This window comes from Homo sapiens, chromosome 5 (assembly GCF_000001405.40).
Source record: "Homo sapiens chromosome 5, GRCh38.p14 Primary Assembly".
NCBI lineage: Eukaryota > Metazoa > Chordata > Mammalia > Primates > Hominidae > Homo > Homo sapiens.
Window position 1 is genome coordinate 32,158,195 of NC_000005.10, and position 17,489 is coordinate 32,175,683.

Genomic DNA, 17,489 nt, shown 5'->3' on the forward strand with positions numbered 1-17,489 from the left:
TCAGAGCTCTTACCACTCTCCATATCAGATATTTCAAAACCCCATTCTCCCCAAACCTCTAAAGCTCAGCTCATTTTCAGCAGATTACTTCACAAAAACAAACCAACTCAATAAACTCAATTTCATACATACCCACTCTTTTGTCTCGTTACAGTGCAGTCTGCCTAAAGCTAATCCTACCCATTCTCTCCTACTTCCCTTTGTTCACAACTCCTGCCCTCCTAAAATACCTTAAATCTCTAACATGTATACTAGCACCTGCCTATTGGCCTTCAAATATTCTCACAGTTACCATCATACAAGAGACAGACCCGGACCAACCCTGCCCTATCTCCTTTCCATTCACAGCAGACTCGAAGGTATCATCAGCAAGTCCATCTCCACTACTCCTCACTCTTCCTCCTGCTGGCTCCACAATCCCCCTCTTCTGGCAGCTCCTGCTCGGGCTCTTTGTCAGGTTACTCTTCTGCTGCCTATTCCTCCAACGGAGTGCTCTTGGCCACTTACACAGACTTCTCAGGTACTCTCACTTATTTTCAAAAAAAATTCAAATAGAAATACATGACAGAAAATTAAAAGTCTCTACTTTCTCTTCCGCTTCCATCCCTCACACATTCCCTCTTCAAGATACTCTCCATTAACATTTGGAATGTATCCTTCCAAATCCTTTTTTAAAGTGCACACAGTCATACTCTGCCATACACTGAGTATCTATGCTGTTAAAACTGTGTTAAGCATTCAGTGTACATTCTTTCTAATTCTTAGGAAACCTTGTAAAGTAGGTGCTATTCTTCCAATTTCACAAGATAATGGAACTGAGGCTCAGAGGACCTGCCACGCACTGAGTGGCAAAGCAGGGAATGAAATTGGTCTGCCTGGCTCCAAAGCCCTGGCTCCTTTTCTGTCTTGCCTTCCAAGACCTGTTTATTTAATGCATGATCTAGGTGTGCTTCCTTTCAGCCCCCTGAAACAGAAGAGGGTACAGGTTGAGTATCCCTGTACTTGGGACCCGAAGTGTTTCAGATTCTAGATTTGGAATATTTGCAAATACATAATGAGATACCTTAGGGATGGGACCTAAGTCTAAATACAAAATTCATTTGTGTTTCACATATACCTTATACACATAGCCAAATGTAATTTTACACAATATTTTAAATAGTTCTGAGCATGAAACAAAGTGTGCCAGGTATGGAATCTTCCACTTGTGATATCATGTCAGCACTGAAAAGGTTTCAAATTTTGGAACCATTTCAAATTTCAGATTTTCAGACTGGGGTGCTTGACTGGTATCACTTTTTTCTTTCCACACCTGCCACTGATCACTTCACAGCAGAGAGCACAAAACAAAGTGTGAGCAGACACTCCCTCTCAAGCAAATGAATTTTTAAGGGTTTTTCACTAGTGGTTTTTTAAAGTATATTTAACAGCATCTTGTTAGTAAGACCTAAATATAAGCTACAGTCTTTATTCTTCTGTAAGAAACACGAAGGTTTTAATACAAGAGAATAACATTTCAGTTTGCAAAGCCATTTATAAATTATCATCTAGGTTCTACAATTACCTAGTAAAATATCATCACCTTTTTACATTTGAAAAATCTGAGGTTTAGAGAAAGTAAGAAATATGACTACATTCACACTCTAGAGCAGTGATACCTCGAGCCCCAGAGCTGTGACTCTAGATACAGCACTTTTACTACTGCATCATACTGTGGGTAAGTATTTTAAGTTGAGGACATTTTGACAAGTCCTATGTAAGTTTTATATCAAGTCACTATAACATTTATTAGATACTGGCCTCTGCATTATTTTCTAAAAGCAGAAAATCATTCCCACTTGGGAGGCTGAGGCATAATGCTGCATAAAGCAAAAACTGTAATTATTTAAATTCTCAAAATAGACTGAGGTGGGAGGATCACTTGAGCCCAGGAGTTCAAGGCTGCAGTAAGCTATGATTATACAACTGCACTCTAGCCTGGGTGACAGAATGAGACTCTGGGGAAAAAAAAATTATTGGAAGTAATAAATTTCTATTTGTTTAATATACATTTTTATTATTAAAATAGAGACAGGGTATTGCTGTGTTGCCCAGGCTGGTCTCGAACTCCTGGACTCAGGCAATCCTCCTATCTTGGTCTCCCAAAGTGCTGGGATTACAGGCATGAGCCATCATACCCAGCTGGAAGTAATATATTTCAAGAATAATTTTAACTCAATAAACTCTACTGAGTGCCAAGACATTACTAAACAGAGGTGATAAAGATGACTAATATACAAAGGCATAGAATGAAAAGGAAGAAATAATAATTACAATTTCAATGTGATTATCATAATACTGATATAAATAAAATGGTGTCCCCTCACTCATTCTAAAGACAAACACTTGTGCAATACTAGGCATTGTGCTAGATGCTAGAGATACAATGGTAGGCAAAAAGGATGTGAGAGCAACTAAGAAGTTAGATTAAGGTGAAGAGTCTCACTAGGCAGTAAGAAATAACTAAGAATTGGCTGCTAGGTAGAAAAAGGCAGAGCCTTACATATAAGGATCCACTAACACAAACATGAAGACCTAAAAAAGTAATCATGGGCCAGGCGCGGTGGCTCACGCCTGTAATCCCAGCACTTTGGGAGGCCAAGGCGGGCGGACCACGAGGTCAGGAGATCGAGACCATCCTGGCTAACACAGTGAAACCCCGTCGCTACTAAAAATACAAAAAATTAGCCAGGCGTGGTGGCGGGTGCCTGTAGTCCCAGCTACTCGGGAGGCTGAGGCAGGAGAATGGCGTGAACCTGGGAGGCGGAGCCTGCAGTGAGCCGAGATCGCGCCACTGCACTCCAGCCTGGGTGACAGAGCGAGACTCCGTCTCAAAAAAAAAAAAAAAAAAAAAAAAAAATTGGGTGGCATCAAAAAGATAAGGTGAGGCTGGGCCCGGTGGTTCACATCTGTAATCCCAGCACTTTGGGAGGACGAGGAGGGAGGATCACTTGAGCCCAGGAATTTGAGACCAACTTGGGCAACACAGCAAAACCCCATCTCTACAAAAAATACAAAAAGTAGCCAGGTATAGTGGCGCACGCCTGTAGTCCCGGCTACTTGGAAGGCTGAGGTGGGAGGATCACCTGAGCCCAGCAAGTTTGAGGCTGCAGTGAGCAGAGATCACACCACTGGACTCCACCCTGGGTGACAGAGCATACCTTGTCTCAAAAAAAAAAAACCAAAGCTGAGGAAAAAAAAAAAAAAAACCAAAGCTGAGAATATGGAAAGGTGGAGAGAACTGCTGACCACAAGGGCTGGAAGAGGTCAAGGCCTTTTGAGTTTTCTGATTTGGAGCATCAAGGCGTAATGAAACTTAATATTTATTGTGCACCAACTATCAGGCACTTTACATGTGCTATTTTATTTAATTGTGACTGGAGTCATTTTGGAGGCTTGGAGGCTACTGATACGTCTGGAGGCTAAGCAGTATCTGGAAAAGAGGAATCATGGAACCAATCCCAAGGATTCTTTAAGGAAGACTCTGGGCTTGACCTAAAAATCAGAAGTCGGGCCAGGCACGGTGGCTCACGCCTGTAATCCCAGCACTTTGGGAGGCAGAGGCGGGCGGACCACGAGGTCAGGAGATCAAAACCATCCTGGCTAACACGGTGAGACCCCGCCTCTACTAAAAATACAAAAAATTAGCAGGGCATGGTGACGGGCGCCTGTAGTCCTAGCTACTCGGGAGGCTGAGGCAGGAGAATGGCGTGAACCCGGGAGGCAGAGCTTGCAGTGAGCCGAGATCGCACAACTGCACTCCAGCCTGGGCGACAGAGCGAGACTCCGTCTCAAAAAAGAAAAATAAATAAATAAAAAATAAAAAAATAAAAATCAGAAGTCAAGTGGTACTTCAAGTTTCCAAATTTCCCAAACCAGTTTTGCCAGGAATTACAAAAAGGAAACTGACCAGAGGTTCAGAACAAAGGTAGAGATAAATACACCTACTATGTGCCCATAAAAATTAAAATTTTTAAGGCCAGGCGTGGTGGCTCACGCCTGTAATCCCAGCACTTTGGGAGGCCAAGGTGGGCGGATCACGAGGTCAGGAGATAGAGACCATCCTGGCTAACACGATGAAACCCCGTCTCAACTAAAAATACAAAAATTTAGCCAGGCGTGGTGGCAGGCGCCTGTAGTCCCAGCTACTCAGGAGGCTGAGGCAGGAGAATGGCATGAACCCGGGAGGCGGAGCTTGCGGTGAGCAGAGATTGGGCCACTGCACTCCAGCCTAGGCAACAGAGCAAGACTCCGTCTCAAAAAAAAAAAAAATTAAAATTTTTAAAAAAATACACGCATAGATGAGCATCTGAATTTGAGTAAAACGTTCAGTAAGCCCAGCATATAAAGTGCAAGAGAATCAAGAAATAGTAAAAATAATGGAAATATTAAATACTTGTCACTTGTCAAGACCACTATAAACTTTAACTTACTTCTCTAGGCTAGGTAATTACCCATTTGCATTTGTTCAGCACCATGTGGTTTTCAAAGCACTCACATATGCCAACACATTGGATCCCTACAACTTAGAGGCTTTCGGACAGAACACAAAAGTAGGCCCATGGCCGGGCGCGGTGGCTCACGCCTGTAATCCCAGCACTTTGGGAGGCAGAGGCGGGCGGATCACGAGGTCAGGAGATCAAGATTATACTGGCTAACACAGTGAAACCCCGTCTCTACCAAAAATACAAAAAATTAGCCGGGTGTGGTGGCAGGCGCCTGTAGTCCCAGCTACTCGGGAGGCTGAGGCAGGAGAATGGCGTGAACCCGGGAGGCAGAGCTTGCAGTGAGCCAAGATTGCACCACTGCACTCCAGCCTGGGTGACAGAGCGAGACTCCGTCTCAAAAATAAAAAATAAAAAAGTAGGCCCATTTTGCCCAGGAGAAAACTAAGGTTCTAAAATTCAAAATATTTATTCTAATTCTTTCAACTACTCAAGGGCAAGGCTAGGTGTCAAGAACACAGCAGTCTTGCAGGTCCTGATCCAAAGCATCCTCCCTATGTACATCCTTACTGCACCTAACACATACTCCCATAAAAGTTAGTAACTCAGAAGAGGCAGGCAGGATAAAGTTAATAATTCACTTTATTGAAATCATTCGCAAATCTGTCTTCTATGCAGACTGAATGCTCCTTAAAAGCAAAAAATTTTTCTTTGTGGCCGGGGGCACAGCGGCTCACATCTGTGATCCCAGCACTTTGGGAGGCCAGGAGTTCAAGACCAGCTTGGCCAACATGGTGAAACCCCGTCTTTACTAAAAGTACAAAAATTAGCTGGGCATGGTGGCATGTGCCTGTAATCCCAGCTACTTGGGAGGCTGAGACACAAGGATTGCTTGAACCCAGGAGGAGGAGGTTGCATGAGCCAAGATCATGCCACTGCACTCCAGTCTGGCGACAGAGCATGACTTGGTCTCAAAAATATATACATATATATATATATTTTTTTTCTTTGTAACCCCAGCATCTGGCAAAGGGAATGAATGGCACAGAGAAGCTGTTCAATACTTGGATTAAACGGAACATATAAATACTAAATAACCTCTAATTTCACTTTAGCTACACAACATGGTATAGACAAAAATTAAATGGTATACTCCATTCAGTGACTGAACTGAAATTTAAGTTCTTAAGTGTTATTTCTGAGGTTATTTTGTTAATACGGTATAAACTGTTTAGCATTTCCATTTAAGAAACTGGAACTAGAAAATGAAACCAGAGTAAAAATAACCATTAGCAACTTTTACATACAGTTTCTTAATTTCTAATCTGTCCCAGAAGGTAGTGGTGGAATACAAAGTTTGCCTATATATTATCAATAAAAATAACTTTTACCTTAAAACTTTAACTCATAAGTTCCTACACGCAGTTCAGTATGCTAAAATTGTTCCTCTTCCTACTGAACTACAAGCCAAATTCTATTGCAATAAAAATTCCTATCAGAGAAAAAGATTTCTAAACCTCAACTAAGCACAAGCTTATAATTTTCCATAGTGACTTATTTCAATGTTTCTCACCCTTTATTTCATCACTGTTCCCTTAAGAAGTACTTCCAGATTTTTTCCTCATTATCTTCTCCCCCATGAAATTTTAATATGATGGAATATACATATTTGTTTGTACACTGTAAGTGTGCCTTTTTATACATAAGAGGAGTAAGATTCTTTTTTTTTTTTTGAGACGGAGTCTCACTCTGTTGCCCAGGCTGGAGTGCAGTGGCGCGATATGGGCTCACTGCAAGCTCCGCCTCCCGGGTTCACGCCATTCTCCTGCCTCAGCCTCCCGAGTAGCTGGGACTACAGGAGCCCGCCAGCACGCCAAGCTAATTTCTTTGTATTTTTTTAGTACAGACAGGCTTTCACCATGTTAGCCAGGATGGTCTCCATCTCCTGACCTCGTGATCCACCCGCCTCAACTCCCAAAGTGTTGGGATTACAGGGGTGAGCTACCGCGCCCGGCCAAGAGTACGATTCTTTCACTACCACGCCCAGAACCAAGTTTCACTCCCTTGGCAATGACATTACCACACTGGGAATACATAATTTACTTAATAAAGCCAGTAATCTACTTAATTAATACAGTAAATGTATTAAGTAAATTTATTTAATAAGTAAATTTACTTTAATAAATAATATTAGCTTACTTAATAAGGTAAATTATGTATTCTTTTTTTTTTTTTTTTTTTGAGATAGTCTTGCTCTGTTGCCCAGGCTGGAGTGCAGTGGCATGATCTTAGCTCACTGTAACCTCCACCTCCTGGGTTCATGTGATTCTCCTGCCTCAGCCTCCCGAGTAGCTGGGATTTCAGGTGCATACCACCCTGCCTGGCTAATTTTTGTATTTTTAGTAGAGATGGAGTTTCACCATGTTGGCCAGGCTGGTCGCTAACTCCCTGCCTCAGGTAATCCCCTTGCCTCAGCCTCCCAAAGTGCTGGGATTATAGGCATGAGCCACCACACCTGCCAGGGTTAGGTAAATTATGTATTCTTAATGTGAGTAATGTCATTGTACTGAGTGACTGCCAAATGCCAGCCTGAAATATATGACATCAAAAAATTATAGAACAGGCCAGGCAGGGTGGCTCATGTCTGTAATCCCAGCACTTTGGGAGGCCAACGTGGGTGGATCACATGAGGTCATGAGTTTGAGACCAGCCTGGCCAACATGGCGAAACCTTGTCTCTACTAAAAATACAAAAAGTACCCCTGTGTGGTGGTGAGTGCCTGTAATCCCAGCTACTCAGAAGGTTGAGGCAGGAGAATCGCTTGAACCCAGGAGGCAGAGGTTGAAGTGAGCATAGATTGCACCACTGCACTCCAGCCTGGGTAACAGAGCAAGACTCTGTCTCAGAAGAGAAAAAAAAAAAATTCTAGAACAGCAACATAATTTAGTTTTGTAGTTTACTATATGAGCTTTGACACACAGAACTAAAATGAATGAACTTGAAGACAGACATGTTCTTCAGTGAATTTGTACTTAGTAAAGGGCCTCTCACAGAGCATGTGCTCAGTAAACATTTGATGAATGGATGAAAACTGTTAGAATCCTAGATGTGTGGTAATCCTAGATTAGAAGCAGTTATGCTGCTTCTAAATGTCATTTAGCAAGATGAGAACCTCTAGACAGGCCACAGAAATGTGGACTTCGTATCTCAAATCACTTAAAATTCAACTCGCTACAACCCTGGAAACCTGGAATTTTCTGTAGTTAATTTTCAGGAAGGAAAAAGAAAAGACGAAAACCTTAAGCTAAAACAAACAGTTCCTGTTTGGTAATTTTTAACCTTCCTGATTCACTAAATGCTTTGAGTATCTAATGAAAGTTCTGTCCTCTTTCCCCAAGAAAACACACAACTGCAGAGAATTCACAAAGTTTCTCAGCTCTGTTCACTCCAATTTAAGAACTTCTCCATTAAAGGAATATGTAAATCAAATACAATGCATTAAGTTTAAAAATAAGTAAATTTTTTTGTTGTTGTTTAAAATGTTATTCTTAAAAGTGACCAGAAACATCCTTGTTGGCAATACACTGTACTTTAATATTAGTTGTGTTTTTGCAGATGAGAGGTTTACCAAACGGGAAGAGAAATAGCCTATGTTCTAAATATATTTGTAATACCTAAGTCAAAAACCTCAAAATGTACTAGATTACATTGTAATACTGTACAATGCTATTAAAACAGGTTGCAGTCTTCCCAGCTTTGATAAGAGAAACCTGAAGCCAAAAACATCAATTTCAAAATGAAGCCAGGTTTCCACTTTTGGCACTTGTCAGGACACTTACTAAAAAGCAGCAGCATGGCCGGGCACAGTGGCTCATGCCCAGACCTTTGGGAAGGCGAGGTGGGCGGATCACTTGAGGTCAAGAGTTCGAGACCAGCCTGGCCAACATGGTGAAACCCCATCTCTACTAAAAATACAAAAATTAGCTGGGCATGGTGGCAGGCGCCTGTAATCCTAGCTACTTGGGAGGCTGAGGCAGGAGAATCACTTGAACCCAGGAGGCGGAGTTGCAGTGGGCCAAGACGGTGCCATTGCACTTCAGCCCGAGTGATAAAAGCAAGACTCCATCTTAAAAAAAAAAAAAAAGCAGGAGGAGGACAAGCACTGTCTTTTTGTGCTGCTTCAAAGGGAGACTCACAACATGAAGATAAATCCTCTAAACAAAGACTACAGCATAGTTTTATACTATTTAATCTGATTAATGGCAGTAGAAAAGTTATGCTGTTAGAAGGGGGGGGGAGTTTGCAAAGACATAAAAAAGTGTACAGCCAAAAGCTTAACATTATGTACCAGAACAAGCATAATGCCTGATGCCTCCAGGGTATTTAAGATTTACATGTAAGATGATATTATAAAAGTGTATTTCTTTAAATATCAAAAAAATCCCCCAAATATTTCAAAATCTATCAAAATAACTTCAAAATACAATTCTTTTGTTTTGTTTTGTCTTTTGAGATGGAGTTCCACTCTTGTCGCCCAGGCTGGAGTGCAGTGGCGCAATCTTGGCTCACTGCAACCTCCGCCTCTCAGGTTCAAGTGATTCTCCTGCCTCAGCCTCCCGAGTAGCTGGGATTACAGGTGCTCGCCACCATGTCTGGCTAATTTTTATATTTTTAATAGAGACAGGGGTTCACCATGTTGGCCAGGCTTGTCTTGAACTCCTGACCTCAGGTGATCCATCCACCTCGGCTTCCCAAAGTACTGGGATTACAGGTGTGAGCCACCGCACCCAGCCTTCAAAATACAATTCTAAAACGTAATTCAAATGCTCCATACAAGAACTCTCAGGTAGTCCAAAATTAACAAATATCAAATATTAGTATAACTTATGAGATGAGTTAGTGAATATTTTGACCATATTGTAAAAGAATCCCAAAGCACTAAAAAGTAATTTCAACAGTATAAAATCTTGTTGAAAAGGTATAATAAGCAGACCAGGCGTGGTGGCTCACACCTGTAATCCCAGAACTTTGGGAGGCCAAGGCGGGAAGATTGCTTGAGGCCAGGAGTTCGAGACTAGGCAACATAGTGAGACCACGTCTCTACAAAAAAAAATTTTTTTTTTTAATTAGCTGGGCATGATAGGGTGCGCCTATAGTCCCAGCTATTCAGGAGACTGAGGAGGGAGGATTGCTTGAGTTCAGGAGGTCGAGGTTGCAATGAGCCATGATCACACCACCACACTCCAGTCTGGAAGACAAAGCTAGGCCCTGTCTCAAAAGAAAAAAAGTACAATCAAATAGTTTAATGAACTTCAAAAGTAATTTCTGAGATCCTGTATATCTCATACCTGTGTTTAAACACCTGAAAAAAATAGATAAAAATTCAAAACTTCAAAAAATATGAAGGAAATATCATTTGTCTTAGAAACAACGAAAATTCATTAAAAACTCAGAAGCCTTTATTATATTTTAAATTACTAAAACTCAGCACATCTGGAAATTCTGAATACTTGTTGACTGAATTTCTGATTTACAGATTTGATATGTAGAGATGGTGGACATCACCACACGTATAGAAAGGAAAACAATTTTTGTTAAGTTATACATCTTCATCACTATTATACTTCAAAGTAGTGACCTTGGGAACCTTATTCCAAAAATGGAAAACATCTTTGGAGCCTGTGTAAAAGCCACACAAAAGTCAGTTCTATCATTTTGGTTAATCTTAAGTATTTTACCCCATTACATATTATTTACCTCAAGTACCTACTTATTTTTCAAGACATAGAGTTAAGTTACTGTATTACAGTTCTTGTCTACAAGCATTAGAAACATTAGTAACTGACTCTGGCTATCTTTAAAAAGCAACTTTACTGGAAGGCTGTTGAAACTCACAACACTGAAAGATGACTGGAAAATCAGACTGGAAAAAAACAGTGCCAACAGACCAGAGAAAGCAGCTCAAAGAACCATGCCAAAGAACAGTCTGATCCACACGCTGACATGACTCTGGAAAGGTCTCCAAAAAACCCTACAGCTCGTTATTCTCTCAAGATCCAAAGCCCTGAAAGAAAACATATGATTGGACAAGTCTGGCTGCATGACAAAACAGCAGGGGAATAATATGCTTCAAGAGTGCATCCTAGAGCCGGTCGCAGTAATCCCAACACTTTGGGAGGCTGAGGCGGGAGGATCACTTGAGGCCAGGAGTTCGAGGCTGCAGTGAGCTATGATCTCGCCACTGTACTCTAGCCTGGCGACACAGCACAATCTGTCTTAAAACAAAAACCAAAAAACACAACAACAAAAAAAAAAACAGGTGCGGTGGCTCATGCCTCTAATACCTGCACTTTGGGAGACTGAAGCGGGAGGATCACTTGATCCCAGGAGTTCAAGACCAGCCTGAGCCATGTGGTGAAATCCCTGTCTTTATAAAAAAAAAATTTTTTTTTAATTAGCTGGGCATGGTGGTGTGTGCCTGTGGTCCTAGCTCCTCGGGAAGCTGAGGCAGGAGGATCACTTTAGCCCAAGAGGTTGAGGCTGCAGTGAGCCAAGATCGCACCACTGCACTCCAGCCTGGGTGACAAAGAAAGACCCTGTCTCAAAAACAGGCAACACACTATGGGGAAACCCTAAAGTAATACAAAATAAAGCGAAGACCTGGGGAGGAGTTAATAAACATCCACAGCAGTACAATCAGAACCATCATATGGAATGACTACTTTTCCATTATACATGAAAACACTGAAGCTCAGAAGGCTTAAATTATATGTAAAAGCCAAAGAATACACTTTGGACAGGACTATAGAGCCTCTCTCTGCTTCTGCTGTTCCATAGGCATACTCCAAATTATACTTGGCCACTGAAAATAATTAAATCTAACCTTAAAAGACTAAGATTTGCCACCAATGAAGACATTCAAACATATATGACACCAGTTATTTGTGGTAATTCTCAATAAAGCATCCTGAAAATATTCTATGGAAAGCATCTATAGAATAAACACACACAGGGAAAGGAAAATACCTGGCACTTTTGCTGTCCCTCCCCCTCAAACACTGGGTCAATTAAAGAAATACTGCTAATTACTTGGCAGTTGAATTTAGGTGTAAACTATCTGCCATCCTTACTGTGGTCTTTAAAGAGTTACTTAAATACTTATGCACTGATTCTCTGCCCAAGTGAGCATGAAAATCTTCTGAGGGGACTAGCCATCCCTGTTTTATAAAAGCAAAAAACAAATATCATTGGTTAAAAAAAAAAAATCTGAAATGTGTAAAGAAAAAAAAAAAAATCAATCACAATGACTTTAGACTCACTCCTAACAGGTAATCTGAAGCCAGACCATCTGCTTATTCAAAAACTGAACCTTCTGTTCAGCAAAAAAGAGAGGGAGACTTGACTCAGAATATGTCAAAGTAATTTTTTAAATATTATAGATTATAAACATGTTAAAAATAAATTGGTAAGACAATAAGAACAAAGGACAATCTCACACGATATGGATGAATCTCACATTGAACAAAAAGCAGACACAAAGTACAAAAAACTAGGCAAAATTAATCTATGCTGAATTCTAATATTAAGCCAGTGGTTACCCCTGAGGAATGGGTAGTGACTGGAAAGATACTCAAGTGGAGGGCTAGGGCTTCTGTTTCTTGCTCTAGGTACTGGTTTAACAAGTATATTCACATAAGGTTATTAGCTCACATATATAAAATATTTCCAACATTAATGATTTGCTTAAATGTAAAGTTTAGCTTTTAAAGTTCTTAGGAGAATCCAGACATTAAAAAGATAAATGCTGAAGTAAAAATCAGTTAAAGCAATGAGTTAGCATAAACGCCTGGGCTCAGGGTAAGACAGCAATTCCTGCCTCCTAAAAAGAGTACTATAGGTTAAAAACATGGTGGCGAGCCTCCCAAGGGAAAAACATACCAACAGATAAGTTGACAGGGCTGGTTATTAGAGTGTAAAGACATGATGAGTTGGCTTGATGGCATGCACCTTGTATTCCCAGCTACTCAGGGCGGATCACTTGAGCCCAGGAGTTTGAGTGCAGCCTGGGCAACATCTTGAGACCTCCATCTCTTAAAAAAAAAAATTTTAAAGATGTGATGAAAGGAAAAAATATATAGGCTAATCCCTAAAACCAAAACCTAAAGCAATACAAAATCCCAGTAGTCTCAACCCCACCCCTCAACTCTCTGGACTTGCCTAAAAAAAAAGAGAAAAAATTTCCCCATGTGGTTGCTGAAATCAGGAAGAAATGCTCACAATAAGCTAGCAAGCATCTGGACCTTAGCCATGACTAGCAAAGTATAATGAGTGACTCTTGATGCAAAATAAACAGAACACATGGTTTCAATTACCCGCCAAATAACTTTAAATTGTTTAAATTATGTGAGTATGGTTAAACTTCAACAAATTATTTAGATTATCTTCTTAAGACCCAATCACCGAAAAACAGCATGTTAATATGCTTCACCTTAAACATTTAGAGCAAGGGTGTCCAACCTTTTGGCTTCCCTGGGCCACACTGGAAGAACTGTCTTGGGCCATATATAAAATACACTAACACTAGCAATAGCTGATGAGCTTTAAAAAAAAAAAATTGCAAAAAAAATTTCATAATGTTTTAAGAAAATTTACCAATTTATGTTGGGCCGCATTTAAAGCCATCCTGGGCCACATTTGGCCCGCGGGTTGGAAAAGCTTGATTTAGAGTAACATGTACTTGAAAAAACAAATAGGTATTTCCTCACTATAATTTCTCAGTGTGACTCAGAACACCAAAAGCTTATTTTTTAGTTTTTTTTTTTTCAGGTTTTTGTTTTCCACCGAGTTTTATCCACACGGAAAACTCTCAAAAACTATAAACCAAAATGTTCACTCAGGAATATGTTTTAATTTTGCTTTTCTTTTTTTTTGTATTTTCTAAAATGTCTATAATAATGTTATTTTTGTCCAAAAAGAAAAATGTTTATGGCCGGGCGTGGTGGCTCAAACCTGTAATCTCAGCACTTTGGGAGGCCGAGGCAAGTGGATCACTTGAGGTCAGGAGTTCAAAAGCAGCCTGACAAACATGGTGAAACCCCGTCTCTACTAAAAATAAAAACATTAGCAGGGCGTGGTGGTGCATGCCTGTAATCCCAGCTACTTGGGAGGCTGAGGCAGGAGAATCGCTTGAACCCGGGAGGGGGAGGTTGCAGTGAGCCCAGATGGCGCCACTGCACTCCAGGCCTGGGCGACAGAGCGAGATTCCGTCTAAAAAAAGAAAAAAAAAAAGACAAATGTTTATAATCAAGATTTCCAATTTTGAAACCTAAAGTTGAATATTTTCTAAAAATTACATTACTAGGACGCTATACCCCTAGTTTACTTTTTCATCCAAAGAACAAGGAACTGCACATACAGCCTGCTTTATCATCACAACTCAATAATTAAACAGGTACAGCAGCCCTTTCACAGCCAGAGGAACATCAACTTTTTTCAAGGTTACTGTTATTAAAACCTGAGAAATGGGAAACCAAGATATGGCAAATGCCCCAGACGTATCTATCAAGCTAACCGTTAGTTCATTAGATTTCTAAATAAGAAAGGTCCATAAACGGTCCATATAAAACTCGCCTATATCTAGTAAGTTTCAGTGACCAAGAAAGATTACGTTGTTTTGTAAGACTTTTTTTTTTTTTTTGCCCACCTTCCTGAATTTGGAAAACTTTCTTAAAATCAGGCCTGGGCGCGGTGGCTCAAGCTTGTAATTTCAGCACTTTGGGAGGCCGAGGCAGGCGGATCACTAGGTCAAGAGATCGAGACCATCCTGGCCAACATGGTGAAACCCCGTCTCTACTAAAGGTATGAAAATTAGCTGGGCATGGCGGCGCACGTCTGTAGTCCCGGCTACTCGGGAGGCTGAGGCAGGAAAATCGCTTGAACCCGGGAGGCGGAGTTTGCAGTGAGTGGAGATCGCGCCACTGCACTCCAGCCTGGGCGACAAACTGAGGCTCCGTCTCAAAAACAAAACAAAACAAAAACACAAAATTAGCCGGGCATGGTGGCGCATGCCTGCCTCAGGAGGCTGAGGCAGGAGAATCGCTTGAACCCGGGAGGCGGAGATTTCGGTAAGCCGAGATCGCGGCATTGCACTCCAGCCTGGGCAACAAGAGCGAAACTCCGTCTCCACATAAATAAATAATCATTTTTGTAGGCAAATATAACAAATACAGCAAAACGTCATAGAATCTAGAAAGAGTATATATGCATATGTATCTATCACTTTTTCAACTTTTCTGTGTGTGAAAATTTTGGACACTGAAGTGAAAATAAACGCTTTCAAAGTCAGAATACAAAGAATTATCTATTGCAACTTCAACCCACCTGAAGCTTTGAGGCCTCTGATCAACTCACAAACCTACATTTCAAGCACTCGATGAAAAAGCCCTTTCTTAAGACGGCAAGACTTTGAGATTCATCAACTGATAAAATATAAAAGCGATACTAAAAATAATCTCTCACCTAATGTAAGTTCACCTAGAAAGTCATTTACCAGGAGGTTTCATGAGAAACTTAACTTAACTTTACTCAGTAAAAGAGCTTTTCCCTCTATTACCACTTCGCCTACGTTTTTCGTAATTCCCAACAGTAAGCTTTAACTGAAGAAGAAGAAAAAAAAAACATCCCCAGCAAGCAGATCCGGGCACCCCTCCCAGGTCCTAAAGCCTGCAAAAACCCAAAGAGTTCGTGGCGCTGGTGGCTCCAGCTGTTAGTTTCCCGGGCAGTCTCCGGGTTGGATTTGCACCCTGGGGTCTACACGGGTTAAAAACGCGGAAAAAAGGCGACGAAGAAATACAAACTGCCAGGGTGTCGAAATGAAAGGAGCGACTGTGAAAGGGGTAAGGAAAAATCCAAGCCATCTCTACGGGGAGGATCCAGAAAGCACCAGCCGCGCCAGGGGGTCAACCAACTCCGACACCGCTCGGCGTCAGCTGGGCGCCACCAGGCGCGGACTTCGGAGCGAGGGCAGGTGCGCGGGCCGGAAGCCTCGGGCGCTCACCTGGCACCTACCTGGAGCTCACCTGGCGCCCGGGCCCCGCGCCGCCGCCCCCCGCCCAGCCCGCCGCGCCCGCACCTCGCGGTCCTTGAGGCCCAGCAGGAGCACTTCCTCCATCAGGGTCAGCCGCGTTTCCTTGGAGTCGCCCTTGTCGTCGTCGTCCTGCTCGTCGCGGCGGCTCTGCGCGTCGTCCTCGCTGCTGCCGGCGCCGCCGCCCGCCGCCCGCTCCTTGTCGGCGGCGTTGCGGGAGGCCTCGGTGCGCCGCTGCACCAGGCCGGAGCTGCGCTGGGTCAGCGAGGTCATGGCTCCCGCCGAGGCGCCGAGCCGGGCCGAGAGGGTCGCAGGACCGACCGGGTCGCCCTCCTCCTCCCCGCGCGGCCTCCGATCCGGGTTTCCGTGTTAAATCCGGACGCCGGGGCGACGTCCGTCGGCAGCAGGGCCGGGGGCAGTCATGAGGAAACAGGTCAGGGCGAAGCGGGCTGGCCGGGCGTCGGCGGGGCAGGAGAGGAGCGCCTTCCTGCCTGTGGCCGCAGTCCCCGAAACACCCCGAGCTCCAAGGCGGAGGCGGCGGCGGCGCCTTTCCAATATGGCGGCCCCGGCTGACGTCACCGGAGGATGTGGCAGAGTCGGCGCGGGAGAGCTGGGCCGGGAGGCGCCGGAAGCGGCGGCCGGGGATCCGCTGCCACTGCAGCCTACACCCTTCCCGGCCCTCGGTGCTTGTCTTTTCTTTGGCGTTCCTGCGCCCCCTGACCCGCGGTCCTGCAGTCCTGCTCCCGTGACGTGCCCTCCCTCCTTCCGTTCCCCGTTTCCCCTTCACTACCCAGGGCTGGAGCCTGAACCTGGCGGGGCCCCCCGTGAATGGAAGAGCCTGGGCCACGCGAAGGTGGACCCCACTCAGCCTCCAGCCGTGCCCTCCACGCCCCAGACACCGCCGTCTTCGGAGGCGACTCCGCGGTCGTGTGGACGGGGTCCCATTTGGACTCCGGGGTCTGCAGGATCGGCAGGAAGGACTTTGCTCTCTGCTGCTGGGCGGGGAGGGGTACGCTATCTGCCGGGACTCCCTAACCCTTTAGAAGGAGCAAGTGCGTCCAAATGGTTTGAAAGTGGACCTTTATTGTTTTCCAGGAGTAAGAAGATAGAACAGTTGACCAGTTTTGTTTGTAAAACTTCTTTCCTTGCCTCGGACTTGTGCTATAAAGTGACCAGGGCGTAGTGAGTACAGTTAGTACCGCACACGTTAGCACGCTCGACCTTAACGATCTTTTTATAGAGACAATAAACCTGCAGCGTTTCATGCCACGTCTTTGTACGCATCGGATGTCTCTCCGTGTAGTTACTAGGTGAAATCCTCTTGGCGTGCGCAAATTAGGTTAAAAAAATAGCTGTCAAACCTGAGACAGGAGTTGGAGGAGTAGAGGGTGGCGCTTGTTAAGTGAAACATTTAACCAGGAATGGTATTGTGTGCCATCCTGTATTAAACAATGTATGGACAGAGTGGAACAACAGCAAAGCAAAAAATAAAAATTTTTTAAAAAAAGTGATCATGGGCTGTGGCTAAAGAGTGCTTTAGATGGATTCTTCTCTTCCACAAATCCATTATCCAGAACTGCTGCTGCCTACCATCCCATGCCCTGGAAAGTGACAGTGCTAAATGAAGGGAAGAGAGGGTCCAGGGGGCACACCAAGTAGACCTTCCCTTTTTCCCACCTGTCTTGGTGAAGGTCGATTTCACCTCAACCAATTTCTCCCATTCACACCCTCTTTTTTTTTTTTTTTTTTTTTTTTTTGAGACGGAGTCTTGCTCTGTTGCCCAGGCTGGGGTGCAGTGGCACAATCTCGGCTCACTGCAAGCTCTGCCTCCCGGGTTCACGCCATTCTCCTGCCTCAGCCTCCTGAGTAGCTGGACTACAGGCGCCCGCCACCACGCCTGGCTAATTTTTTGTATTTTTAGT

General features: G+C 43.4%; 1 protein-coding gene across 1 annotated transcript in view, besides 1 other annotated feature; it reads right to left on the bottom strand.

Annotated features, from left to right (window-relative positions):
• Positions 1-16,125, bottom strand: part of GOLPH3 (golgi phosphoprotein 3) — a 49,604-nt gene extending 33,479 nt beyond the window's left edge. The window contains exon 1 of the mRNA NM_022130.4: positions 15,616-16,125. Within this exon, the coding sequence (NP_071413.1) occupies positions 15,616-15,840 (225 nt within the window). The 5' untranslated portion in view covers positions 15,841-16,125. The remainder of the gene's footprint in view (positions 1-15,615) is intronic.
• Positions 15,409-16,018: a silencer, noted in NCBI's record as "silent region_15953". NCBI's record gives its function as "represses an Ori minimal core promoter by ATAC-STARR-seq in GM12878 lymphoblastoid cells {active_cell/tissue: GM12878}" and the evidence as "EXISTENCE:reporter gene assay evidence [ECO:0000049][PMID:35858748]".
• Positions 16,126-17,489: the final 1,364 nt, after the last annotated feature.